Source organism: Homo sapiens, chromosome 6, assembly GCF_000001405.40.
Source record: "Homo sapiens chromosome 6, GRCh38.p14 Primary Assembly".
Lineage (NCBI taxonomy): Eukaryota > Metazoa > Chordata > Mammalia > Primates > Hominidae > Homo > Homo sapiens.
The window spans coordinates 37,619,275-37,647,107 of NC_000006.12; the positions used below are offsets into that span (position 1 = coordinate 37,619,275).

The 27,833-nt window shown below is 52.0% G+C and overlaps 1 protein-coding gene across 6 annotated transcripts in view, besides 2 other annotated features; it reads right to left on the bottom strand.

The window, feature by feature from the left end:
- Nucleotides 5,764-5,993: a silencer, noted in NCBI's record as "silent region_17143". NCBI's record gives its function as "represses an Ori minimal core promoter by ATAC-STARR-seq in GM12878 lymphoblastoid cells {active_cell/tissue: GM12878}" and the evidence as "EXISTENCE:reporter gene assay evidence [ECO:0000049][PMID:35858748]".
- The window catches only part of MDGA1 (MAM domain containing glycosylphosphatidylinositol anchor 1), a 67,205-nt gene continuing 50,776 nt past the window's right edge, over nt 11,405-27,833 (bottom strand). For 2 of the 6 annotated variants that reach the window (XM_006715056.4, XM_047418637.1), the window contains exons 11-16: nt 26,924-27,101; nt 26,659-26,682; nt 25,223-25,375; nt 24,535-24,669; nt 19,263-19,393; nt 18,192-19,039 (exon numbers count right to left, since the gene is read on the bottom strand). In XM_006715056.4, coding sequence (XP_006715119.1) covers nt 18,785-19,039; nt 19,263-19,393; nt 24,535-24,669; nt 25,223-25,375; nt 26,659-26,682; nt 26,924-27,101 — 876 coding nt within the window. In that variant the 3' untranslated portion in view covers nt 18,192-18,784. The other 4 variants (NM_153487.4, XM_017010734.2, XR_926141.3 and 1 more) reach the window with 4 other exon arrangements.
- Nucleotides 12,330-12,379: an enhancer, noted in NCBI's record as "active region_24477". NCBI's record gives its function as "activates an Ori minimal core promoter by ATAC-STARR-seq in GM12878 lymphoblastoid cells {active_cell/tissue: GM12878}" and the evidence as "EXISTENCE:reporter gene assay evidence [ECO:0000049][PMID:35858748]".

A 27,833-nucleotide genomic window follows, 5' to 3' on the forward strand; every position in this document is an offset into this window, starting at 1 on the left:
ATTGCCTCCCTAATTGGCTCTTCTCTCAAACAAGCTTTAATGAGCCTAAACTTCATTCCAAGGGTGCTTAACCACCCTCGAGCATCACTGAATGCCATCTGCAGCCCCCGCCACAGTCGCTGCCCACGCCACAAGGGGCCCTGGCGGGGAGACAGTGGGGACAGACCCAAGAGTCTTGCCCTGCATGACGCAGACGCCCAAACACTCTGCTCCAAACCTGCAAAGTCAGGGAGGAGGAAGCCTTAATGCAGGGAGCCCCAGTCTGAGGGAGACAGAGCCCCATCCTCAAGGAGCCTCAGTCTGAGGGAGACACAGCCCCATCCTCAGGGAGCCCCAGTCTGAGGGGAGACACAGCCTCTGTACCAGAGAAGCTCCTAGCCTGAGGTAGGAGACATAAGCTTTGTCCTTAGGAATCCCCTAGAATTATGAGGGAACACTATTTCTGCCCTGGTTCACTTACCCATCAAGAAATATTTATTAATCATCTCCTATCTGTCATGCTGTGTTCCAGCACTGGATTGGAGATACAGCTGTGAACAGAAAGAACAAAAGTCCCTGCTCTGTTGGACTCATGCTGTAGCAGGAAGGAAGCACCACCCGCTACCCACTGCCTCCCAGCCCTCAGCCCCAACTCAAGCTTCCAGTCTGGAGAAGAGACATGGGCACTGAAGGCCGCCTTGCAGGAGAGACTGGCTGTACTACTGGGGTAAAACTGAATTCCTGTAATAGAGAATCCAAAACCCAGATACACATGAGAGGTTTATAACCTCCTCCATAGCAGCTTGAGTCTAGGGTAGTGAGCAGCTCTCCTCCAAAGGTGACGTGGAGACCCTGGCTCCCTCCATCTTGTTCCTCCATCATTCCCCTAGGGTGAAGGACAGCCCCACTCTCCTACAGGGTCAGGACTGAAGTGGCCTCCATCACTTCCTTTCACTTGCCATTGGAGCGAGCTTGGCAAGGGAGGCTGGGAAGCACGGTGCATCTGGGCAGCCATGAGCGCCTGGCCTGCAGTTCCATCAGCATGAGGAAGGGAGGATGAATCTGCGTTGTCAACTAGCAATCTACTCCACTGTGAGCCTTGATTCACCAAGCAATCAACTCTTGGAGGACGAGAATCTCATCTACTATGCCCATCCCCACACCTGGCACAACCCTGGGCACACAAAATACCTCTTGGTTCAAAAGCTGTTTGAGAAATAGGAAGTTGATATGATCAGTTATCTATTGATGTGTACTAAGTGAAGTGGCTTAAAACAAGAACCATTTTATTTACTCCCAATTCTGTGGTCAGTGATCTGGACTGGGCTCTTCCTGGGGTCATTCATGTGGCTGCAGCCAGTGGCTTGACTGGGGCAGGATGGTTGATGTGAACTCACTCACATGTCTGGAGGTTGGTGCTGGCTGTTGGCTGGACTTTGATCCAGCAGGATAGCTTGGCCCTTTCACATGGCAGTCTCAGGGCAGCAAGAAAGTGAAAACAGAAGTTGCACAACATCATTGCGGGTGTATTCTCTTGGTCAAAGCCAGCGCAGATTCAAGAGGTAGGGAAATAGACGCCATCTCTTGGTGGGAGAAGCTGCAAAGGATTTGTGGCCATTTGAAATCTACCAGGCTGTTCTGCAGAGCAAACCACTACAAAAACTTAGTGGCTTAAAACAATGGCAACATTTCTTTTGCTCAGGATTCTTCAATTTGGGCAGGATTTGGTGGGGGAAAGATCTCTCTACTCTGCCCAGCATCATCTGGGCTGGCTGAAAGGATGGGGGCTGAAATGATCTCAAACTCGCTATTCACATATCTGGAGGCTGATGCTGGTTATGGGCTGAGACTTTGGGCTTTGTCTAAAACATGTGGTGTCTCCATACAGCCTGTGCTTTCTCCCAGCATGGTGACTGGGCTCTCCTGAAAGACAGACAGACAAACAGACAGACCCAGGCAGAGCTATGTGCCTTTTATGGCCTAGCTTCTAAAGTCGTGCAGTGTCACTTCTGCAAAAGCGTTCTATTGATGGAGGCAGTCACAAATCAGCCCCATTTCAAGAGGAGAGAAAACAGATGTACCTTTTGATGAGGAGTTGCCAGGTCATGGAAGAGCTAACATAGGACCAGAAATATTTCTGAGGTCCATATTGAAAAGTACAATCTACCTACCGTGCATTCATTGATTCTTCATTCATCCATTTATCAGGCTCCCATGGTGCACTCGCTGTGTGCCAGGCACACAGTAGGGACCATTCTCACAGACTCTCTGCTTCCCAAAGACACTGAGCCACCATGCTACCCCAAGGGTGGGAAACTGACAGCCTTTCTTTGGCAGGCAGGACCACTGCTAGGAGGTCCGTGTCTTCTCCACTGCTCCCCACACTGCTAGCATCTGATGAGGCCCCAAGGCAGAGGCCAATACGAATGACCATCATGCCCAAGAACAAAAAGTGAGAGCACATTTCGGCAAGCAGGATTCTAGTCAGGAACCAAGAAGGATTTTCCTAAGCAAACATTTGTTCTGAGGGGCATGCTCTCACTTGCTCTTGTCACTGTCCTCCCTTCCTGGGCTCAGTCAGGGAGAGGGGACATGAGGGGGCAGGTAGTCAAAGTGGACAGTGACTGACCTAAAAACATAATGTCACTGGTGCTTTTTGCATTTCAGTTTGGATGTATGTCTGGGCAGAGCAGGTGCTCACAAAGTTTGTTGGATTCGAATATCTAGACTTTCCTTATCCTCCCCCTAGACCATGAGGAACCTGAAGGCTGGGATCCTGGCATCTAACCCAGTGCTTTCAACATAGTATGTATTCAATATGTTTATTGAATGAATGAATGAATGGTGTGAATGAGAAAAATTAATAAGACTGCCAATTGCCCTCCTCCCCCAACCAATACCTGTTTCTCACCTTCTTTTATAGCAAAACAAAAATAATTTATAGCTGGACAGACAGCACCCTAGAATAGAATATGCATTTCCCAGCCTCCTTTGCAGCTAGGAGTGGCCATATAACTAAGTTTTGGTCAATGAGATGTGGGCGATGTGTGGGATATTTAACTTCCGCATCATATTTTTACAAAAGAACCAGGCCCTCCCTTTACCTTTCCTCCTTCCCTCCAGTTGAAATGTGACATGGTGGTAAAACATCCTGGACCATATGGACAAGAGAACACCCCAGGGATGTTGGGGCAACTAACTAGAAGTGTCCTGGGTCCCTGAGATCTTGGAGCTGACATCCCAGCCCTTGACTACTTACAGCCAGACTGTTACATAAGAGAGAACTACATTTATATTTAATTTAGCCACCGCTCTTTGGAGATCTCTGTTAGAGCATCTGAACCTCTATCCTAATCAGTACAACAAGAAGGTGAATACATGTGTGAGTGAATTCATGAGTAAGTGAATGGCCAATTAAGTGAATGTCTAAATTTTTGCTGTTATAGTGATAGCAAAAGACCACAATACTTCATTTATAAAGCTTTAACTGTATGACATTTGTGTACTCAACAGGAAGTGTGGAGGGGGGTGGTTTCAGGGTTGGTTTGACAGCAAATCACTCATCAAGAACCCCAGGCTCATTCCACCTTTTTGCTTCACCGTCTTCACAGTGTTGATTTTTATTCTGGAGCTTGATGCATCATGGTCACAGGTCGGCTAGCACTGTTCCAGGCATGACAATGTCACACAGTCATGCCCATTGGGCAGGAAGCTGGGGGAGGGCCAGAGGGACAAGATAGGATTATCCTCCCGAGTCTCCTCATTGGTGCAACCAACAGTGGCTGCCACAGTGACTGAGTGAGTGAATGAATGAACAAACCCCATGTAGGAAAAAATGCAACTACGTTCTCCCCAGCCCCGGTAGGAAGGAGAACTCCCAGAATTAGGTTCCAGGAAGGGAAAAGCAGACAGTGGAGAGAAAGGTGGTGCCCCTGGGGTGTAGAGGCAGGAAGGAGGCCAGAGCTTCTGGAGTCAGGATGAGGGACGGATCCAGGGTGCACAGGGCACCTGGGAGAAGGGCTGGGGTAACTCATGGGACAAAATAAGAGACAGAAATCTACCACGGCTTGAGGAAGATGCAGTTTCTGGAAAAAGGAACAGGACTCAGACAAGCCTAAGAACCTGGACAAAGCCTATGGGGACAGACAAAGGTGCTGTGTCCCACATGCAGGCAGCGACCCTGGGATTAAATGTGTGTTGCAGAAATCCATCTTTGCTAACCAAGAGATACAGACAAAACAAAACAAAACAAAACAAAAACAAAAAACAAAAACAAACAAACGAAAACCTGTTTGGGGCTATTGGTTCCTTATGCCTGATCTGATCCTTTACCCTAATAGCAAATAAAACACAGAACACTGGAAGTCAGGACTTTGAAGGCCCTATGGAAATAATTCAATCCTAACTCCTCCCATTTTGCAGGTGGCAAGATTGAGGCCCACAGATGAGAAGAAAATCCACGGCAGAGCTCGGACCAGAACCCAGACCCCAAGATCCCAGTCTCACCTCTCCCACTGGCATTACACCATTTCTCAAGACAGAGTCATAGCTTCATTGAGTGACTCAAGGGCAACACCCTGGGGTTTCTCAGTGCATTCTGGAACATTGAGGGGTGCAGAGCAGAGCTCCTGCCTCTGTTCTTCTGTGGCCTTTCCCCCAACATGGCCCAGGATACAGAGGGCTGGGAGGGGATAGTCCTCACTGCTTACTGGCTGACAGTGAGTAAGCAAGCCTGGCAAAGTGCTGAGCTCCTGGTCACTGGCAGAATTCAAGCAAGGCTGGAAGGGTATTATAAGGAGGAATCCGGCCGGCCATTGGAGGGGGTGACTACAGCTTCCCTCCACTCCTTATTACCTTGGCAGCATCTCGAAACTGATTGGATTCTCACCAGCCAGGAAAGGCCAGACCCTGCTCAGGTCTGAGGGCCACAGACTTCAGTCATCTCTGCCAGCCCTGAAGCCTGTTCCCATGGAGACAGGTGAGTGAGAGAGACAAGAAGAAAGATGTGTGGAAACCTCCAAAGCTGTGGCCCTGTGCCAGACAGGCCCTGGGGGCAAGGTGTGGCCAAGGCTGACAGAAGAGGGGTAACAACTTCCTCAGAGTCGGGCCTGCTCACCAAAGGATGGGGATCTGGACCCCACCTCCCTCCAGTCCAGAGGCCAGAAGTCACCCGGATGCCGCACACTCCCCAACCCCTCCAATGCCACTTCCACTGGAGCCCCCAGGGGAGTCCTGTCCTGAAGGAGGGTAGCGGCAGGGAGAGATTGGCCCATCCAGAACCTTCTCTGCTCTTCAAGTTTTAGACAAAAGCAAACAAACAAAAAACCCTCAAATTCCCACCCTAGGGAGAGTGGAAGTGGGACTTTCCGTCCCCCACCCCCGATCCTGTCCTTATCTCTGGACTCAGGATGAAGGGAGTGAAGGGACAGAATCCGCCCTTTGCCAACCTCCACCCTCACTCCTCCCTCCAGGACAGGGTGTCCAGGGCAAGGCCAGTGACTTCCTGGGAACCTTCTGGATGGACTGCGCCATGCCCACCACCAGGGTAGAGGGTCCTGGCTGGACAGGGCTTTTCTAATGCCTCTGGGGCTTCATGGACGGCAGGAGTCTCCCTCCAAGCCCCAATTCTAGCAGCCCCCAGCCCAGGTCCACCTACAGCCTCCTGCACCTTGCAGCCATCCTCCCTGGGGGCTAGCTCTGTCCTTCCTGACTTTGGCTGGGCTCTACAGTGCTCCTGACACCCAGCCCACCTCGCTAAGACCCCCTGCCTCAGGATGCAGCCAGATCCCGCTCATCTTCCGGCCGACGCCGCTGGTGCGGAGCAGGCTGCCCGCCCCTGGGCGCGGAGCCTGAAGCCCAGAGCCCGCCGCTTGCTCCACCCGCCCCGCTCCGCCGGCTGTGGGCCGCTCGGTGCCCACGCCCTGCCGGGCTCCCGGCCAAGACGCCGGTCTCGGTCTTGCAGCTCCCGCCACCTGCCTGCCTCTTGGCTGGGGTGGGGCCCGGTTCAAGGATTGGGGTGGGAAGCGGAAGAAGATTAAGGAGCTCCCACTTAGGCCTGGGTAATGGGGGTCCCCAGTGTTGGGGCGGGGACAGAGTTAGATGCTCAGGACTACAAACAGAAGCAGGGCTGTGTCCTGTTTTCCATTTACCTTTCTGTGGGGGGCCCCCTTTCTCTGCATTGCTTAGAAACACCCCACTCCCTCATTTCATTGAATCCCAGAGCTGAAGGAACCTTCAGCTTCAAGCCTCCCCAGCCTTCTCCCAATTTACAGGGACATTCGAGTCCAGAGAGAGGGCTGGCTTATTCAACGTCGCAAGCCAGAATGTGGGTCCAGGCACTCCTCCTTAACAGTGTTCTTCTCACTCTCTGGGCTCAGCCTCTGTTTCTCTTCACCTCTTCTCCAACTTCTCTCCCTCTTCCCTCCCTTCTTTCTGCGGAAACAGGACCCAGCCCTCTAGCCCGCATCTTCAGGTAGAGATCAGCAGGCACTTGCAGGGGCCACTAAGCATGCGCACTCCAGAGCCCTTGAGCCTGCTATGCGCAGAGCCCAGTGCTGGGCTCCGCAGGGGACATGGGACCCACACAGGGCAGCGAAGCCTGCAGCCCGCCTCCCCGTGGGCAGGTCAGCCATGGGCGATGCTGGAGGGACAGAGGAGCTTGGTGTGATAGCATCTGGCCAGGTTGCAGCAGGAAAGATCAAGTTGGATTTTAAAAAGAAAAAACCTCCTATGAGGAGTGAGATAATAAAACAAATGAGTGTTGGACCCTGGAAAGTCCTGGAAATCTCATCTCTTGAGAACTTTTAACATCAGGAAAAGCCCTGGACACTTCTAATCAAGGGACTGAGCGTTTCCAAGGGGGCTTTCTGCCTGCTGAGTGGAGGAGGAGTCTAGGAAAGGGGTGGTCCCAATTCTTGCCCCCTCCCCTCCTCCCTGCAGGCCCTCCTCAGGCTGCACAGGCCAGCCCATCCTGCTCCCCTCATTGTGGGGTGAGTTTGCCCACACACTCAGCTTATTTGGAGCGAGGCCTCATGAGATGTCTCACATTCATGAGAGGAAGGGAGATGCCAGTGCTGCCGGGGGCTGCCAATGCCCCAGGTGTCCTAAAGAGGAAGGGGGAGCAAGAGGCCGGTCTGGACCCTTGGTCATCTCCAACGCCCCTGGTTTCCCTCAAAGCCAAGCAGCTGCCTCCCTGCATCTGTGTTCCTGGCCTTTGTCTATCTAACCTTGAAGAGGACCTCCTTCAAGGAGCCTTTGGGGACTGGCCCAGCCATGGGGAAAGGGGAGATTCCTCCCACTCCCAGCCCATGGATACCCAGGTTTCATATCTATGAACATGCTGCAGTGGGCTCTTAGGTGCTTGCTTTTTTTTTTTTTTTTTTTTTTTTTTTTTTTTTTTTTTTTTTTGAGACGGAGTCTTGCTCTGTTGCCCAGGCTGGAGTGCAGTGGCACAATCCCGGCTCACTGCAACCTCCGCCTTCCAGGATCAAGCTATTCTCTTGCCTCAGCCTCCCAAGTAGCTGGGATTACAGGCACCCACTACTTCACCCGGCTAATTTTTATATTTTATATTTTTAGTAGAGACAGGGTTTCACCATGTTGGTCAAGCTGGTCTCGAACTCCTGGCCTCAAGTGATCCACCTGCCTCAGCCTCCCAAAGTGCTGGGATTACAGTCATGAACCACCATGCCCAGCAGGTGCATTAAGTGTTGCCCTTCCAAATAATGATGATGATGATGATGAGTTAACACTTGCTAGTCACCTATTCTGCATCAGCAACTGTGCCAAGTGTTTTAGACAAGTTATTTCGTTTCATCCTTACTCTTATTCTCACATTACAGGTGGAGAAAAACACTCAGGCTCAGAGAGGTTTAGTAACTTGTCCATGGTCACACAGCTAGTAAGTGGAGGAAAGAGCCTGGATTCAAATCCAGGTCTGTGAGGCTCTGAGGCCTGTACTGTTAAGCAGGCTTCTCTTTGCCAACCTCCATCTCTACATGGCCTCTTCAGAACCCACCTGCTGCCTCCAGCACCTCTTTCTGGACTAGCTCCAGGAAAAAGTCAGCCCTGGGTGCTGCCAAGGGGAGCTCCATTCTTTCTGGCAGTCCCCCATCACCCAGCCCCCACTCAGGACCTCCCAAACTTCATCTGAAAGCCTTGTAATTTTCATTTTTCTTCCCTTAGGGTTTTTCCCCCTAATGAACACATGGTGCTTGGGTGATACTACTTTCGAAACATGTTTTTAAGATATAAAGGTAGCTATGGAAAGCTCACCAGGTGGTCGGTTAAGAGACCAGCTCCTGGTCCCAGCTCTAGCCTTTGCAGCTGTGTGACCGTAGGCAGATTCCTCCTCCTCTCTAAGCCTCAGTTTTCCCACCTGTAACGTGGGCATTATTGACATCTTCTCAGGGATAGCATGAGGGTAAAAGGAGAAATCAGTGTAAACTTGGAAGGGCTGTGCACATGGGAGGGATTATTCTTTTATTTTTAAATGTATATTTGGGTTTAGTAACTAGTAGTCCAGTATATTGATCCTCAGATGACTGATTCTTCCCTCTCTCTCCTGCTTTTGGGGGGGTTCCAGGGACCTGGGATTCTTGAGTCAAAAGAAGGAGAGGGTGAAAGGGAGGCCTTAGATAGAGTGATAGAACACAGGAGTTCTGGCTCTCCAGGTCCTCTTTCCCACTCCTTCCCTTGCTCTATGCCTCAGTTTCCCCTCCTGGGCCCTGAGTCTGGGTGAGGACAAGAGAGGCTGAGGAGGAAGGTGAGGAGTTGGGCAGGCAGAGGAGCTGTAGTTTTTATACTTTCTTGGGCCCTTCCCACTCTGACTGCAGCAACCACTGACCCTGGGCATCTCAATTAGCCACTTGCTTCATAATTCATCATATGGTCAAGGCTGCCGCAGGCTTACATGTGTGGGCATGTACATACACTCACATGTGTGCAAGCATACATGCACACTTGTGCACACACAGTCGCACACACTGCATGGGCATCAGATATAACACTAAATGTTAGTGTTTGTTGCTGGAGGTCGTGTTCTTCTCTTTGGAATTTCTGTTATTGAAAGCTTGGCTCGACATCCCCTCTGCCTTGCCCCTGGTAAACTCAACCCAATTCTTCCCCCTCGCCTCCCCCACTGCATGAGCATTTTTATTTGAATAAATCAGCAGGAAAAGATTTCAAGTTCAAAGCCCTTTCCCAGACTCTGTGATGTACAGTTATAAAAATAATGCTAAGAACAGAAAGTGACCTTTATTTCTAATCTATAGTCCTTGATGACTTCTGGCTTTTATTTTCTCGAGAAAATAGATTTTTTCCCCTGGTTATTAAAAAAATTATATGTTCATGAAAAAATATTCAGACAATACAGAAAGCCTAAAGATGTGAGTCAGAAGCATCTGAAATTTCACTGCTGAGATAACTACTATTCACATTCCAGTGAATAGTCTTTCGGACAAAAAAAAAATGCATATGCTCATATATACACAGATGTTATTACATAAAAAAGATAGTAACAGGCATGCGCTTTCTAATCTGCCATTCTCTCTCGACAATATATTATGGACATCTTTAAATGGCAGCACAGACTCCCACTGTGTGGACGTTCGGCACTCTCAGCCTCTCTGACTCATGTTTTACTCTATTTCTCACCGCCTCTCAGATGAGAGTGAACTGGCGGGTGGTTCTGGGGGAACGGCACGGGGGGTGACAGAGAGGGACTCTGCTTATGGAGGGTGGCGTATATAGATGGAATGAGGACTCACAGGGTGCTGAGTCTACTCTGCTGAACTGTGGCTGGCCCCAGGGGACCTGAGAAAAATGGGCAATTCAAAACATCTTTAGAGAAGGCCAAACAGCTAACAAGACAGGGCGATGGATGTGGTGGTGGGATTTGCATTCGGGGGCCCTGCCAAGTGGACCTCAGAACAGGAAACACGCTGGGCACGCACGGCCAGGAAAGATGAATTTGGGAGCGGGGGTTCAAGAAGCAGTATGGAAGGATGCCTCCACCCAGGTTTGGGGTGACTTCAAGGAGGAGAGTTTCGACTTTTTTCTTGTGTTTATTTATACCCAACCCTTTTCTGAAAAGGTGTTACAGTAGCTTTCAATAAAGGACATGCAAAAAGCTAGAAATAGAAAAGCAGGAACAGGGACGGTCTCCATCTGAAGCAGAGGACTGGAGCCCGAGCCTCACAGGGAAAGGCCTTGCTTCTCCCAGCCCCTGGGGAAGAGCTGGTGGGAAAAGCAGAGTGATCTCCAAGGAGAGGAAGAAGAGGAGGGACTCTGGCTGATGTGAACGCACATCGCACCAGAAGTCAAAAACCTAGATCTCCCTCTGGGTTCTTCCTCTCCTGAATTTTCTGAGCTAGGGTAACCACATCACCTTTCTGAGCCTCACTTTGCTCATCTGTGATATGAAAATAAAAATATTAGAGTCCTGGCTGGGTGCGGTGGCCCACGCCTGTAATTGCAACACTTTGGGAGGCTGAGGCGGGTGGATCACTTGAGGCCAGGAGTTTGAGACCAGCCTGGCCAACATGGTGAAGACCCACCTCTACTAAAAATACAGAAATTAGCTGGGTATGGTGGCACATGACTATAATCCCAGCTACTTGGGAGGCTGAGGCATGAGAATCACTTGAACCTGGGAGGTGGGGGTTTCAGTGAGCCAAGATTGTGTCATTGCAATCCAGCCTGGGTGACAGAGTGAGACCTTGTCTTAAAAAATAAATAAAAATAAGCTAAGTAAATTGGCTATGTTCTTTAACAATATATATGTCAAAGTCCTGATAACAGAGGACTCGGTTGCTGTAAGTTACCTGACCTACCTGTACAGTTTGCAATGGGACCTGCCCTTGGACAGGGCCACTTGGAGGACTTTCATGGTACATACACTGCATTACTGTGCCCCTGGGAATGAATGGTCACTAGAGGAGGGGAGAAAGAGGGAAGATGCAAGGAGGTGTGTTTTCGGTGCCTGCCAGCCTCCTGCCCCTCCTAAGTGGGTCCACCCACAAACTGCCTAGAAATGGCAGCCCCCAGGTAGCCTTGTTTCATGTCCATGACCCCTTCCTCCAGCCCAGCTGGTTGGATCAGGGTGGCATCTGACTCAAGGGCAGCCAACCCACAGGTTGCCCAATGATGTATGTGTGGCTAGACCTGAAATGGGGGCCTGTCCAATCAGCCCATTATCCTGAGCGGCTGAGTCAGTGAATGCTGGCAGCTGCTACCGGAAGGCCATGAAGGAGAGTTGAGCTGGAGAGGTCATGATGCCTGGAAAGCTGAAGTTATGAGGAAGCAGACACCATGACTCAGGAGAGGAACTGCATGGACAAAAAGCAGCAGATGCTGGGGAGTGACTGAGTCATGCCAGGGTGGTCATCTATTGCTGTTGTCAAAAACTACTCCCAACCGCAGGGGCTTAAAACAACTATTTTATTATATCCCATGACGATGGGTCAGGAATTTGGACAGAGCTTGGCCGAGCAATTCAGGTGGCAGTTAGGCTGGTCTGGAAGGTCTGAGGCAGCTGCACTCCCATATCTTCTGGTGCTTTGGTGGAGATGGCTGGAAGGCTGGACTCAGCTGGGATGGTCAGCCAGAGCCCCTCCAGCATGACGGTCTCAGAGCAACTCAGAGGACATCCTAGGTGGCAGTTCAGGGCTTCCAGAGAGAACGTTCCAAGAGGCCTGAGCTGAAGCTCCAAGGCATCTTCAACTCAGCATGTCACATTCTATTGCACAAACAAGGCACTAAGAGCAACCCAGATTCAAGAGGAAGGGAATTAGACTCTGCCTCTCTACAGGAAGGATAACATGGGATTTGCAGCCATCTTTATTCTACCACAGGTAGAATACAGAAGCACCAGAAGAATACAGAAGCACCAGAAACTTCTGTAGATGATGATCCTAGAGCTACCTTGAATCCAAAATGCCCATCTGGTTCAGGAAAACCATCCCTGTTGCAACTCCTGTTTGGATTTCTGAGTGCCCATCCCCCTCACTGTGTTTGTCCTCACAATAATGCACCTGTACTTGAGTGAGCTTGAGCGGATTTCTCTTCCTGTGCTCAGGGAGCCAACCTACAGCAGTGGTGAGTCCCTTAGACCCTTCCTCTTCCATTAGAAAAGAAAGGCCAGGTGTGCCAGCAAGAAGTTACCCAACATGAGAGCCAATAAAACTTAGGTGGTAGGGAGAGGGAGCCCTTGGTCTTGTAATCTGAGCTTCAGTTTCCCCATCTGGAACATGGAAGTGAAACTGCCCAATCGACCTACCTGAATCATTGTAACCAAGTAACCTGAAAGACACTTCCTGTCATTTGCCTGATATGATGTAGTCCATATCATGACATCCACACCCTTGATTTGGGGTCACTTTGCAAATGCTCATCACTGCCTATCCCCATGACCTTGGCAAGCCCATCTCACCTACAATATATGAGTAGATGTTTGAAATAAGTGACCTTTAAGGACCTCCTAGCTCTGAAATTCTAGAATTCTGAGAGGTCTGGGGTAAAGGGAAAGGTTGGCATAACTTGATCTTAGGGCAAGGATGCAGCTAGCTGGTGGTGAATAAGGGAGGCAGCCCCAAGTAGGGTGCAGGGTGGGGTCTGTAGGGCCAGAATAGAGATTAAGAGGGAAGGGACTCCAAGCGTGTAGGAGGGATGGTAGGGTTGGGTGCCGAGAAGGGAAAATGGCATTTCAACCACCATACCAACTTTAGTCCTCCTCCTTTGCCCTTACTCCCCTTCCTTGAGCCTTCTAAGTTTTTGGGCCCTGTTGGCCTTTGCATATTCTGTTCCCTCTGCTCAGAAGCCTCTCCCAATCCCAACAGGCTAACTCCAATCATTCTGTCTCTCCTAAATGTCTCTTAGAGAAGTCTTCCCCGAAGCCCCAACCCAAATAAGAACCCTCTTCATACCTTCTTTCATAGCACCAATTTCCCTTCCCAGCCCTCACTGTACACATCATTATATATGTCTTGGTGTCATTATTAGCTTACTGTCCATCTCTCCCATTAAACAGGGGCTTCCACAAAGGCAGTGTTTGGTTGGTATTTGCTGAATGAACAAATGCACACAAGTTCACTGGGAGCAGACCAGGATGCAGGTCCTCACTGTCCAGGCCACAGAGCAGGATCCCTGTCGACAGGTGCCAAAGAGAAGAAAGGCTGCCCCCAGGGAGCTGAGAGGAGCCCTCCAGTGCCCCGGCCCCGACCCTGGCCCACTCTGCCCTGCCAACACACACGGCTGACGCTGAGCGCTAGAACACTGCAGCTTTATTGATAGAACAACCGCGTCCGCAACTAGAGGTTACATTTGGGGGCTTGGAGGTGAAAGAGAGGCAAATGGGGAACAGAGGCTGGGGTGGAGACAGACAGCAAGGCAAAGGGGTGAGGATGGGGCTGTGTGACTAAAAAAACAACCCCAATCATTTCACCCATTAATAAGGGGGTCTCCTGTTGTGCTTTTACCTTGGTGGCGGGGTGGGCTGGGGTGGTCAGACATGTGGGCCTGGGCATGAGGAGTTTTGGCTTTTCTCCCAAGTCTTTGAGGTCTCAGGGCTGGTGCAGCCCCTTCCCTCCCTGACCCTTCTCCTGGGCTGGGGATAAAGGCCTTGGTGAGCTGGCTACTCTAGGGCAGGAAGAATGCATGGAGACCTAGAGGGCCACCAGAGTTGGGCTGAGATGGTGATTATGTGGGTGGCTGGGAGGATGGCGGGAGGGGGCCAGGAAGGAGGGCAGTCCTATCCTAGGAGGGTCCCTGGGAAATGAGTGCAGGCAACAAGAGGGCAAGGGGTGGGGTGGGCAGATGCCATCCCTCTGGACCTCGCCTGTACAATGGGGGCACCAGCTTAGATGCTCCCTAAGGTCCCTTCTAGTTATAAGGGTCAAGGGATCCCCAGGAAAGAGTGGTCCTTCTGCCCCAACACACACACACACACACACAAACACACGCACACTCCACACATCACACACATTCTCAGACACACACGCACAGCACTGACTCGATAGAGAGGCGGGTGCTTCCCGGCCTTTGGAAGCATGGAGGACTCCGCTGAACCCTGAACCCAACCTCAGCCAGTGGCTCTGCAGGGACTCTCCAGAGCAAAGACCCTGGGAATACTCCCCAGCCCCTCAAGCTGCCCAGCGAGAAAAAACACAAGGATTCTGCACGCCCCATCCGTGACCCTCCCGGTCTTTGGGGAAACCAAGAGGATGAGCACATGAGAACATGCTGACCTTCACTCCTAGCCCAAGCTCTTGTGAAGTCACAGGGGAGAGGAGGGGAAACAGGGTCTCTTCTGTCTGGGGGCCTGGGAGAAGGGCAGCAGCTGCAGACACTGTGGTGGGAGGGTGGCCACCTCTGTGTGGCACCCAGGCCTGTCATGGGGCAGAAGGGTCTGCAGCCTGGGATGAGAGGCCAGAATTTGGAGCCGAGGGCAGGATCCCAGCAACATCTATAACATCCCCACCGGCACCCTGGACACAGGACTGTTAGCCAAACTCCCTGCAGTTGTTTGGCAGGAGACCTCAGGGGCAGTGACAAGCGGTGTGACACCCCCAGGGCTGTAGTACTTGGCTCTCCCAAGACTGGCTCTACTCAAACTAGCTGTGTGACCTTGGGCCACTCCCCTTCCCCACTCTGGGCTTCAGCTTCTTCATCTGCACGAGGGGATCAAACTTTTGAGGTCCATCCTCACTCTGACAGCCTGAGCCAGGGGCTTTCCCAGAGCACAGGGAAAAGGAGAATGAATGAGAAAGAGGTGTCAGGCCCATCTCTGAGAGGTAGGGGTGGAAGGAGCATTCCAGGAGGAGGGGGCTTGGTCTTCAGGCTTCACTCAGCACCCTAGGAGCCTGTCTGTGCTCCCAAGGGCAGGATAGCCCAGCTGAGACTTCCATAAGCTGCTATACAGCACCTGGCCCCCGGAGTCCTTTTCACCAACCTGAAGGGGACAAGGGATGGAAGGGCCCCAGCACCCTGAGGGCTGACCCTGAACACCCCGTTTTAAGGCCACAAAATGCCTCAGTCACCCTGACCCAGAGGGCGAGGCTGCCACTGGGGAGATGTGCTGGATCCAGCCAGCCTGGTCTCCCCTGGCGGGGGTCACTCATGGGCCACCCATCAACACACAGACACTGACACACCATGGCGCACAAAGACACAGCATGAGCAACACTGATACAGAGATGCTGGCTCACAGGCACACACAGACACAGACACTGACAAGTCACCAGGTGATACACAAAGACACTCATTCCTGCTGAGGAACACACAAACACACAGAGACCAGCACATGCCTAGACATTTACAGTGCCCACTGGCATACACTGACACCCACATCCCCCACCCACCTGCTGGCACACACAGACATCCACATCAGCCTCACCCATTCACACGTGGGGACCTCAGCATTTCAGCAGACACATTTTGTCAATCCCAGGTCAAGCCATCCTCAAGGCAGGGCTGTCTGCACCCACTGAGACCTCCAGCAGCATCCCCCCATCCCCCCTCCACCTTGTGCCCTTCGTCCATAAAGACCAGGAACCTGGGGGCCACATGTATGCAGTTCAGCTCAGCCAACATGTACTGAGCACCTTTACTGTCCACTCTATGGATCCTGAGGGGAACAAGGGAGACAAGTCTCCCCTGTCGGAGCAGCCAGGGTTGCGGGGCAAATGGATTGGAAGGTCCTCTGAGGGAAGCAGGCACAGGGTGCCTTGGGAACCCCAAAGAGGGAGCACTTGGGGCTATTCATCTCTGGTGCTCCAATGCCTACCCCAGCGAGGGCACAGAGGAAGCACCCAGGTGGTGCCAGGCCAGTGGTTCCTGCTGTCAGGAGAACCCAAGGAGCTTTTCAACATTTCTTGATGTCCGACTGCGCTCCAGTCCAATTAACTCAGAACCTCTGAGGTGGGAACCAAGCAGCAATACTTTTTAAAGGACTCTGGTGGTTCTATTCTGCAGGCAAGGCCAGGAACCACTGATTACAGAATCCATTCCACCGGGCAATGGAGTGGTTTCCACACCAGGCTCACTTGTGCTGGGCACGAGCGGGAGGTGGCGAAGGTGGAGGGGGGACTTGGAAGGCTCAGAGGAGGAGCTCACAGTCTAGTTGGGGCAATGGACTCTGCACAGATGGGACAGTTAAGGAACAATACCCGACAGACGCGATGGAAGTGTATGCTGAGAACCTGGAGCGACTCATTTCAGACAGAGGCCTTGACTGGGTCAGGAAGGCAGCCGTGCTGATTGGGCATCAGAAGGCCCCGCTGCATCCTGGCCCGGCCACCCACCAGCTGTTGGTGATAATGATCACACAGGCCTGGCAGGGGGAGATGGGCAGCCTTTGCCTCGGTTCCCCGCCTGCCTCCTGGCACTGCAGTGCTGCCCGAGTTCCAGGCCTCTTCTCTGCAGCTGTCCCCACCAAATGCTCCAGAAGGAGCCCTGTGATGCTCCTCACCAAAGGTGCTTGCATTCAATAGGGTCATCTGTAAGCTCTCCGTCATCCATAGGGGATGAAAGGTGGAATTTCAGGCCATCGCAGGCAGCTTGAGACTACAGAACAGGGCTGGACAGAGTCTATTCAGCCAGCACCCTACAAGCGAACACATCACTCAGGAAGGTGGACACACACGCTGACGTACACGGACATTCATAGAAACGAATGGGTCTCAATCCAGTCTCACAGGCAGATATGTGAGATTGCACACACAGACCTGTGTTTGCACACACTCCTGCCCAACAATGTACCCACGGTGGTACCTAGACACAGACGGGCACAAACACATACACACATATGCACGCATGCCTAAAGAGTCATTCTAGAAGGGGCTGGGCCTTCTCTCTCCCATGGATGGCTAGGTGGGGGCTCAGGTGATGTCAAGGAGGAAAGATCTAGATCCCATCATGTCAATCTCAGGTGCCTAACCCAGGACCCAAGGACAGGGATCCCTTTCACAGCTCCCAGAGAGTGAGGGGACTGGCACCTGCTCCCTCCACCAATCCCAGCTCTATAAGCCCCTCCTCCTTCACTGCCCCTGGGTGGAGAAGGGAACTTTCAACTAGACAGTGCTTTTTGGCATTTTGCCCTGTACACACCCTCCTATCCAGGGCACCCTTTCATGCCAAGTAGATAAGAAATGAAGGCCCCTCTCCACTTCCAAATTCATTGTCTGATATGGGGGCACCAAATCACAGAAGCGGGACGTCTCTTCTGCCTTTCTCCAAGTCAAGCCTCACCCCAGAAAATGGGCTGGCCACCGCTCCCCCAGCTCCTCTGAGACCCAGCTGGGGGCTGAGGCTAGGAGAGAACCGTGTTCTCAGGAGTCCCACTGCTTGTAGGGTGGAGTGGGGAAGTTATCAGTCTTCAGACTGCCCAGGCCCAAGACCCTGTGCTGGGTCCCTTCAAAGGGTGCACACTGAGGAGGGAAATATGGTGTCCCAGAAATAGGTCAAGGAATCTGGGGTGACCTATGGTCTCCACCATCCAGTGCTCACTCTGGACAGAATCGTGTGCAGCAGGTGCCCTACCTTCCTTGTCTCCTGGACGTGGGACAGTCACAGAGCTCGCAAAGTCCCACCTGTTCGTCCTCTGATCCCTGCCTCTCCCATCTCAGGAGTCCCAGAGTCTGACCAAGGGAGGGGCTCCATGTCTGCCCCACTTCTGGCTCCCTTCTGGCAAAGCCACCAGGCTGGAGTTCGGCCTTGACTTAGGGGACAGGGTAAAGTCAGAAGCACACCACGAGTGCAGCAAGGACAAGGCCTATGTTGCGCCGAGGTCCCTGGGTTGGCGGATGCCATTCAGGCAAGTCCCCTGTCTTTGCAGTAAAGAAGGTGCTGGCAGGTCAGATAGAAACTTGTGCTTTAATATATCTCTGTGTGTGTGAGCATGAGTGTGTGCGTGTGTGCAAGTGGAACAGCTGTCTCCAGGGCCTCAGTGCCTGGCCTCTGTCCTTGTTCTCTGCTCATCCTTGCAGCCAATGCAGGCCCCCTCCCTGGCGGGCCGGCCCTGCCCCTGGGCACCCCAGCTGGCGGGGGTCAGTCTTTGGTACAATGTGGACACTTTGGTGTGCCGGGGGCAAGGTTGGGGGGGTGGCCACACAGCTCTCATCATCTCTGCAACGCCAAGAGGAAGATGGCCATGGGCCCCCACAGCTGTGGGCTGGACTGGCAGGGGGCTCCACTGCCCGGCATCACCACCACTGCAACAGGGGAGAAAGAGGAGACAGGCCAGGGCTCTGGTCAGCTCTGGCAGGGGCAGGAAGTGGCAGGCAGGTCGGCACTGTTACTCTGCCCACCTCTTTGGAGGGCCTGAGGGTGGGCACTGGCCTCAGTGCACACAGACAAACTCACCGCACAGACATGAGGTGGCGTGGGGTGGGGTGGGGGTTAGCTCAGCCTGCCAGGGTTCACATTCACTAAGACTTGGAACAATTTACTTGACCTCAGTGGGCCTCAGTTTCCTCATCTGTAAAATGGGTCCAATGGTGTGTACTACCCCAAAGGACTGTTGTGAGGATTAACTGTTGTGAGGTAAGTGAAACATGCATATACAAGTTTGTGTGCCTTGCCTGGTACAGAGTAATTGCTCAGTAAGTAGGAGCTGTTAGTATTGGAAACCTCTGGCCCTGGAAGGCACACGTTCACCTCTGGAGCCAGAGGTACGCACAGATGTATTCAGACACAGGCACAGGAGGCGCTCTGATACCGTGAACAGGTCAGTATGCTCATCACGAGGGTGGGGGCCAGGCTTCTCATTGTTTACACAAGTACACAGCCTGAGTGAGTGTGGGGCACACCTTCACACAGTCAGAGCCACATGATTCCCATCACTCAGACATTCTGAACCCCTATTCAGACCCAAACACCCTCCCTCAACAGACAGGAACCCCCGCCACGCACAGCTCCCTCCAGATTCAGCTCCCCCACCTCCTTCCCGTCTTGCACCTTTATTGGGATCCGTCTGCTTCCGGGGACACTCCCCCTTCTTCAGTGTGACGTCATCTATGGCAATATCCCCCAGGTAGCCCGGGCCTCGAACCCCCTCAAAAATAATCTGGGGTGGGGTCAGAAAGCAAGGAGCAAGGGTTGAGGAGGTTCTGCTGGGTACCAGAGTGCTCCCTCGACCCCACCTTTCCCCTTAATCTACCTGGAAGTTCCCCCTAACCTGACTCTTTCCATCCTTAGCCCCCAGGAAGAAGGACAAGGTTTTCCTAAGTGTTTCCTGGCCACAGCAACCACCGAAGCCGGGGAGGGTCCTCTGGGCCCTACGGACTCACCTGGAAGGGCCCACTGGGGCTGATGGGCACATGGGCCTGCTGCCACACATTGCCCTTATTGCCACTGAGAGACCAGGCGTGCGTGTCCAGAGCCCCTTTGTTCCGGGACCGCACCAGGAGGTTGAGGGAGCCTGCGGTGGGTGTGAAGACAGTGGGCAGTGAGATCTGGCCAGGGCACCCTCACCTTTCCACATTTACCAAGCCCTCTTCTCCCACCATAGCCTGCAGCCCTGTCCCTGTTGACAGGACCTCCTCCCCATGCCCAGCTGGGTGCAATGTCCCATTCCTGCAGGGACACCCTCAGTGTGGGAAAGAGAAGACTTCAGCAGGATTTCATTTCATCAGGATGACTTGCAAATTTTCTTTCATTTCTTTCCTGCCCTGCTAATCAGCTAATCTCCCCAACCCCAAACACACACATGCACACACACCCTACCCTTCCCCTCTAGGCAAGGGAGCTGTCCCAGGGCAGTGGGACCTCTGTCTGGGCACGCAGCAGGGTTTCCAAAGAAAACAGTGTGTCCCTGTTGGCAGTACATGACTTGTGGAGGGAGATGAAGGGCTTTTAAAATGTTTAATACCCAGTTGGCAAGAGGAGTATGTTGGGTCCAGTAAGGCCCAGTAAGGTCCAGTAATACCCAGTTGGCAAGAGGAGTATGTTGGGTCCAGAAGGCCAGAGAGGACAGTCTGTGTGACTGTCCGTGCTCTGCATTCCCCATGGGGTGGAATAAACACCAGCAAGTGAAAGCTTGCAGGAGGCAGATTTGAACTGCATCTAAGGAAGACCCTGGATGTATCGGATTTGCCCAGCAAAAGAGTGGGCTGTCTTGGGGGAGCATCCTGTCCCTGGACAGGACTATCCAGCAGGGCTGCTGCGGAGGGGACCCCTGTCTCCAATCATGTTACCCCCTCTGCTCAGTCTCCTTTGAGGCTTCCCATCGCTGTCCTTCTCCTGGCCTTCCACACCTGATCTGGGCGCTGTCAGCTTCTCTGATCTCATTTGCTGCCACTCGGGTCTAGCAAACTGGTATCCTTGCTTTTCTTTCAACACTTGAGGGCCAGTTCCTGCCTTAGGGCCTTTGCTTGTGATGTTGCCCCTGCCTGGAACATTCTTCCCTCCCTCAAGGAAGTCCCTGACCACCCCATGTAAAATAGCTCTCTGTTCTTTTTTCTGCATTATTTTCTTTATAAGGCTTGGCACCAGTAGACTGTAAGCTCTTCAAGGACAGGGGCCTTTGTCTTGTTCTAGTGTCCTAGAACAGTGCCTGGCATATAATGGTGCTCAATTAGTTAAGTGAATGAATAGATGGATGAATAAATGAATGATAGGATTTGGTCTTCATGAACCCTGAGGTCCTTCCAACTCTGAGATTCTATGAAAGTCCTTGATAAGAGTTACGGAAAATTCTTCATTCAGAATTTAATTATTGGAACTGATAGGAGTTTGACACAGACCTTCCTGCAAGGAGTCAAATAGGGAAGGGAAGATGTGAATCCCAGGGACTGCCATACCGCAGAGCAGAGAGTGGTCTGGGCCTGGGGAGCTGTACGTTAAGGACTCAGAGTTCACCGGAAGGATAGAGGGCTCCCAGCTCAAACCTAGGAAGACTTCTGGAGGAGGTGGTGTTTTTGACAGCCCTTGAGGAGTGGGAAGGATTTGGCCAGGGGAATGTGGTAAGAGGGCATGTTAAGCAGAGGGAATAGGCTGAGCAAAAGCCCAGAGGCTGGAAAGCTGGAGTCTATCCAGGCACTAGCATACAGTTCTGCTTGGCTTTAGATGTGGCAAGACAGATACGGAGGAGTGTAGTGAGCAAAGCTCATTCTTTTTTCGGAGGGGGCGGTGCGGGGACAGGGTCTTGGTGGTACAATCATGGCTCACTGCAACCTCAAACTTCTGGGCTCAATAATCCTCCCACCTCAGCCTCCCAAGTAGCTAGGACCGTAGGCACGCACCACCACACCTGGCTAATTTTAAAAGTTTTTTAGTAGAGATGGGGTCTCGCTATGTTGCCCAGGCTGGTCTAGAACTCCTGGCCTCCAAAAGCACTGGGATTACAGGCGTGAGCCACTGAGCCTGAACAGGCCCTTTTCAAAAGGAAGGTTGGGGGTCCTGGATGTCCTCTGTAAAGGGATGTCAGGAAGCCCCTGAGCAGGGGGGACATTGGAGCTGATGGGGTGCTGAGGGGAGGGGACGGTGAAAAAGCAGCCTTCCCCATCAGTGTCCTTGGGGCAGGGCAGTGGAGGAGGAAGAAATGGTATGGGAATTGAGGCTAGATCCCAGGGGAATGGGGACAGGGGGCATATCTCCAGGAGGGAGAAGAGAGAGCCGTTCCTTTGGGGCTGGTGAGGATCCTGGAAGACACTGGGGCTTGGGCCCTGTGAAAGCCAGGGTGAGTACCTCCTGTTCTACTGGGTGCTGGCACAGCCTCTCAAGGTCCCACCCCCTGCTGGCGAAGGTGCCTCCACATGCCGGGAAACTTCAATGTGCTCCTCTGCCTGGCTTTGCCATGGGGGACAGGGTGTTTCTTGCTATCCTAGTTCCTCTTCCCTCCTCCCCTCCCACTCTGCCTGGCAGCTCTGGGCACCAGCTGTCCCCAGACCTTGTGTCTTGCTGGCTCTCCTTGGTCCAAGCCAACTCATTTCATCCCAGGCAGGTAACATTTGGTGGCTCTCTCCCACCAGGGGGTCTGTCTATCTGGTGTCACAGATGGTACACCTTTGTCTATGGGAAGTGCCATGGAAATGCCAGCCAACGGGCACCATCTAAGATTGATTCCCCTTCCCTCAGAGCCAGGTATCTCATATCACTGCGGGCTGGAGGTGAGCTGGAAGGGACAGGGAGGGGGCATTGGTGTTGTCTGGGCACTCTTAGCCAAGTTCTGATCACCTCCTTCTCCTCTAGCACCCCTCAGTTACCCCAGAATTCCAGGTCCCTATGGCTATGGGCAAATGGGCTGAGCACCCCCAGGCTAATGCCTCCAAAATCTCCCCTTTCGCTATCTTGACCAAGTTATGTAACACATGTGCTAATATCTTTCTTTAAACTAACTCACTCTTTTTTTCTTTTTTGAACTTTGTCATAAGCATCAGTATTAGAGAAATACTGAGTTTTAAGGGCTAGCTTTATTCACCACATAAAACATAGCCAGTGCTAAAATTAGGAAAGATGGGAGTAAACCCAAATGAACTGGTTGTCCTACCTGGGGAAGCCAAATGGAAATGAGAGGACTCGGCAGGGTGGTGGAGTCCTGGTCATCCACTCTCACCTACCCCAGAAGAAGCTTCTTATGAAGTCCAGACCCAGCCACGGGCAAAATGATCTGTGCAAATGGTTTGGGAGCCCCAGTGGATGCAGAATCTTCTATCCCACTCCATTCTTGTTCATCAGTTCAGCTTGACCCATCACCCTAGCTGTGGAAACTTCTCCACGATGAGCCTTTATATCTACATTTGCTTAAAGTCACTCCGTCTACCATTACGGCTGAGGAAAACAGTGAAGATGCTTTCTGTGGACTGACAAGGAATAATCACCAAGATGATGTACAATTCAGAGGGAAAAAGCAAGTATAGGATGGTATGTGTAAAATGGGAGGAAATAGATTATATATATGTATATATATATATATATGTACTGGTTTCTTTCTTTTTTTTTTTTTTTTTGAGACGGAGTCTTACTCTGTCACTCAGGCTGGGAGTGCAGTGGCGTGATCTCGGCTCACGGCAACCTCCACCTCCTGGGTTCAAGCAATTCTCCCTACCTCAGCCTCCTTACAGGCACCTGCCATCACGTGAGCCTGGCTAATTTTTGTATTTTTAGTAGAGACGAGGTTTCGCCATGTTAGCCAGGCTGGTCTCGAACTCTTGATCTCAGGTGTCCCGCCCGCCTCGGCCTCCCAAAGTGCTGGGATTACAGGTGTGAGCCACCTCACCCGGCCATATGTACTGGTTTCTATTGGATAAAGTATCTCTGAAAATTTGCCCTAAAATCTAGTCTATTAATCACCTTTGGCAGATCAACTGGGATGGGAGGGCGTCTGCATTATGTGCCCTTTTGTACCTTTTGGCCTTTGTGAAATGTATTACCTTTCCTATAAACAAGTAAACAAACAAAAACAATTTTAAAAAAATCATGATGTCCTCAGCAGAGTCTTCCATGACCATGCCGCGGGGTCAGGCAGGTCTCCCTGTTACCACCAGTCTCAGCCCCTGTCCTTCCACTGCCACAGGGGTCACTAACTCCTGGCTGGTAGCATGAGTTGTTTAATACCTGTCTCTCCCACTTGCCTGTAAATGCCAAGAGGATGGGGAACTCGTCCACCTCGTTCACTACAGCACCTGATACCTGGAACTGAGCAGGAGCTCTGGAAGTGATGGCTGACACTGGTTATGTGACGCTCCTACCAGTACCATTGCCTGCCAAAGGGCACTCCTTATGTTCACTCCCTCACTTGGGAAGCAGGACTTCCTCTCACTGCCCACAAAGAAGCACCCTTCCGATCTCATGTTTAGGGCTTGGAGAAGTCACACAGATCTAGCTTACTGTGTGGTCTGGGAAAAATGCTTGACGTCTCTGAGTTGGATGGTAACACTTCCCTCATCTGGTGGCTGTGAGGGTTAATGCAATCAAGGATGCGGCGCACCCAGGACATCACCTGGCAGTCACTCCATATTTGCATCCTCTTAGTTGTCTTCTCCATCCCCTCCACTTCCATCTCATCCTGCTGGAGTCTTTTCTTTTTCCTTTTTTTTTTTTGAAATGGAGTTTTGCTCTTGCTGCCCAGGATGGAGTGCAATGGTACAATCTCAGCTCACTGCAACCTTCACCACCTGGGTTCAAGTGATTCTCCTGCCTCAGCCTCCCAAGTAGCTGGGATTACAGGCACCCACGACCACACCCAGCTAATTTTGTATTTTTAGTAGAGACGGGGTTTCACCGTGTTGGCCAGGCTTGTCTTGAACTCCTGACCTCAGGTGATCCACCTGCCTTGGCCTCCCAAAGGGTTGGGATTACAGGCGTGAGCCACCATGTCCGTCCCCTGCTGGGGTCTTCTATCTGCAGGCTCAGGACACCCTGATCATCTCAAAACCTCGGACAAGCTGGCTTTCAACTCCTCTTGCCAATTCTCTGTGCAGACCCGTCCAAGGACCTCTCATTTAGCCAAGTGGGGAAGCTGAGGCCTCACATGGGCCAGCCCATCGCCTCCTGTGGACCCCACTCCCCTCCCATCCTCCAGCACACACTTGGTGGAGACTACCTGGCCCCCCAACTCACCGATGTGTTTCCCGTACATGTGGTAGAAGAAGGAGACACAGTAGAACTTGGCGCTGGCATTGTAGAGGGGACTCACTAACCTTGCACGGTCCCCCAGCTCCCGAGGCCTCGATGTCTCGATGAACATGTAGTAGCCTGCGGGGAATGGGGAGATGCGCCAACAGCCCCCAAGACAGCCAGGCCTCTTCCTACCTGATTCCCTCTCTGCCTAGGCCTCTGCGGGCTGAATCTGAAGTGCCTCGCCCCACGCATCCTGCCTCACCCCACGCATCCTGCCTCACCCCACACATCCTGCCTCACCCCACGCATCCTGCCTCACCCCCACGCATCCTGCCTCACCCCCACGCATCCTGCCTCACCCCACGCATCCTGCCTCACAGCACAGGAGTCTGGTCAGTGCTCATGAGTCCTTGGCTCTACTGTAATTCCTCTTCCTCTTGATCCTCTATCAGGACAGGGCTGCATCTCCCTCAGACTGGGGCTCCCTGAGGATGGGGCTGTGTCTCACCTCAGACTAGGGCTCCCTGAAATCGAGGCTGTGTCTCCCCTCAGACCAGAGCTCCCTGAGAACAGGGCTGCGTCTCCCTCAGACTGGAGCCGTCTCCCTTCATCCCCAGTCTGGGGTGCCCTGGGCCTAGACACCCCCCTGAAGCAATCCTCCATTTCTGGCAGCAGGCCAGGTCCTCACCCTCAGGGGTGCCACTTATGTCGGTGGGGGGACCAGTGTTGGGGGAGCGTTTGGGGTTCTGGGTGAGGGCATTCTGCCGCGTCCAGTCAAAGTTGTCTGTCAGGTCCTGGGTATAGCCACAGATCTTCTCATCCTCAAAGTGGCAGGTGTTGTCTGCATTTTATGGGGCGAATGAGACAAAGAGTCAGCCTCTTCAGTCCCTGAGGCCCAGCCTCGCCCCTCTCACCCCCCAGAGGCAGCTCCCATGCATCCAAGCAAGGCACCCAGGATTCCGGGCTTCAAAAGACCAGGCATGGGGCCCATAACAAATTTCTTGCCATAACAAGACTTCTTAACCCTTTTTGTGCCCTAGGCCCTTCTGGCAACTAGTGAAGCCTAAGGATAATCTCAGAATAATGATTTTAGACACATAAAATGAAATGTATAGGATTATAAAGAAAATCAATTATATCGAAATACAGTTGTCAAAATATTTTTCAATTTGTTATAAAATCATAAGTAGGCTTCTTTATTATCTAATTAAATCACAAGATCTAGTGTTAGGTCTAGTAACTACTATAGTTTTGAAATACAAATGGATATAAATGATATTTAGAGATATCTGGAACAACTGTAAGGTAAGGTGAGAACACAGGATTTCTACTGCTGACAAAATCACAGGTCCTGATTTTACTACTGTGGTTTGGGTCCTCCATTCATCATTGAAGGGGATGTTAAATTTCTGCTAGAAGACATGGAAAATAAAGAAATAATTGAGGCCGGCATGGTGGCTCACACCTGTAATCCCAGCACTTTGGGAGGCCGAGGCGGGTGGATCACCTGAGGTCAGGAGTTCAAGACCAGCCTGGGCAACATGGTGAAACCCCATCTCTATTAAAAACACAAAAATCAGCCAGGTGCGGTGGCACATGCCTGTAATCCCAGCTACTTGGGAGGCTGAGGCAGGAGAATCACTTGAACCCGGGAGGCGCAGAGGTTGCAGTGAGCCGAGACTGTGCTACTACCCTCCAGCCTGGACAACAGAGTGAGACTCCATCTCAAAAGAAAAAAAAAGAAATTAATTGTATGCCTTTCCATGTTCATAGACTGCCTGAATTCTATACATAGATTCTTTGGAGGTCCATGGGTCACAGACTAAGAACCCCTGACTCAGGCAACAAGGGGTGTAGATGAGCCCAGCCTCTCCTTTTTGCTTTTGGGACAGTAAGCCTCTCCCCACCTACCTGGCCTTTAAACCCCAGAATAAATCCCAGATATAAACATCTCCAGCCCAACCCTGCTTCTCCTTCTAGCCTCTGGCCCTACCCCATGGAAACACAGGGGGAATTCATTTTCTCTCTGACTATCTCAAGGATAGCCTATCTCCTTTCTCTCACCAGGAGAGCCTTTGTGTCCCTAAAGGGAAGGGGAAGTCATGGGTGACTGGGGAGTCTCACCTGAAAGGTTCGGAGAGTTGATGGCTGAGAAAGCAAGCGGGGAAACCAAGTCAGAACTGAGGTGTGGGGCTCTGCAGAGGATACCCTGCTTGGGACCAGAGGACAGGGTCCTCAGAGCCAGGACTGGGGGCCAGCGGATCTGGCCTGCAGTGACAAGGTAGTACACGGTGGGGAACCCCAAGCTTAGGAACCACATGAGGATGGTGAAAGGGGTCCCTGGCCATGAGATGGGCCCATCCTTCCTACCGCCACCACTGTCACCTACGCTCTGTGTAGTGGATGATGCGGGAGGCCATGTCACCAGCCCCGAAGGTGGTATAGGGTGTGAGGCGGACCTCATAGCTGTGGGGCACACGGAGATCGGTCAGGATGTACTCCAGCAGCTGCCCCTTCTCCACACGCCGGACCGGGATGGCCTTGACCACCGCATTGTGCTGGTTCAACTGTTAAGTACAGAGAGTTCCCAGATGCCTAGGAAGTCAGGCCCTCAGTTTCCTCATCTGTGAGACAGGACAATCACCCCTTCCGTGCCCACCTCCCAGGGCTGTCTTCATAATAAAAATGATGACAGCAACACACTGAAACATTAATAAGTGTGGGGCACTGTTCTAAGTATATTGCCATTAGTAAGTCATTTAATCCTCAAAATTACAATCCTATGAGGCAAAAATCATAATTACCCCCATTTTACAGATAAGGAAACTGAGGCCAAAGAGAGTAGCTTGCTGTAGCTCACACAAAGCTGGGTTCTGGTCTAGGCAGTCTGCCCCTGAGCCACACTCTTACCCTCCCACCAATCACCTCTTGGGCTGAGCAGAAGCACATGGAATCAGACTGGGCACGAGAACAACAGAGAGACCCTGGCTTTGCATGGTGGAGACCCCCTGGATGAGACTTACCCTCCCCTCTCCCATACCCTTCTTAAGCTCTTGACCCAAGAGTTGATTCTATGTTCTGTGAGCAGTGCTGGCTCCCTCCCCCACGAACCCAGCAGACCCTTGCCTGCCCAATTCTCAGAGCTGTGCCTAGAGTCTGGGTCCAGAAGGGACAGATCCCTAGAACCTCCAATCTCTTGCTGCTATGTCCAAAACTTTTCTCCCTGCCCCTGAAGAATTGCCTCTAAAAGGGTCAACGTGTCTAAGCCCCATCTCCGACCCTTCCTCTGGCCTTGATGA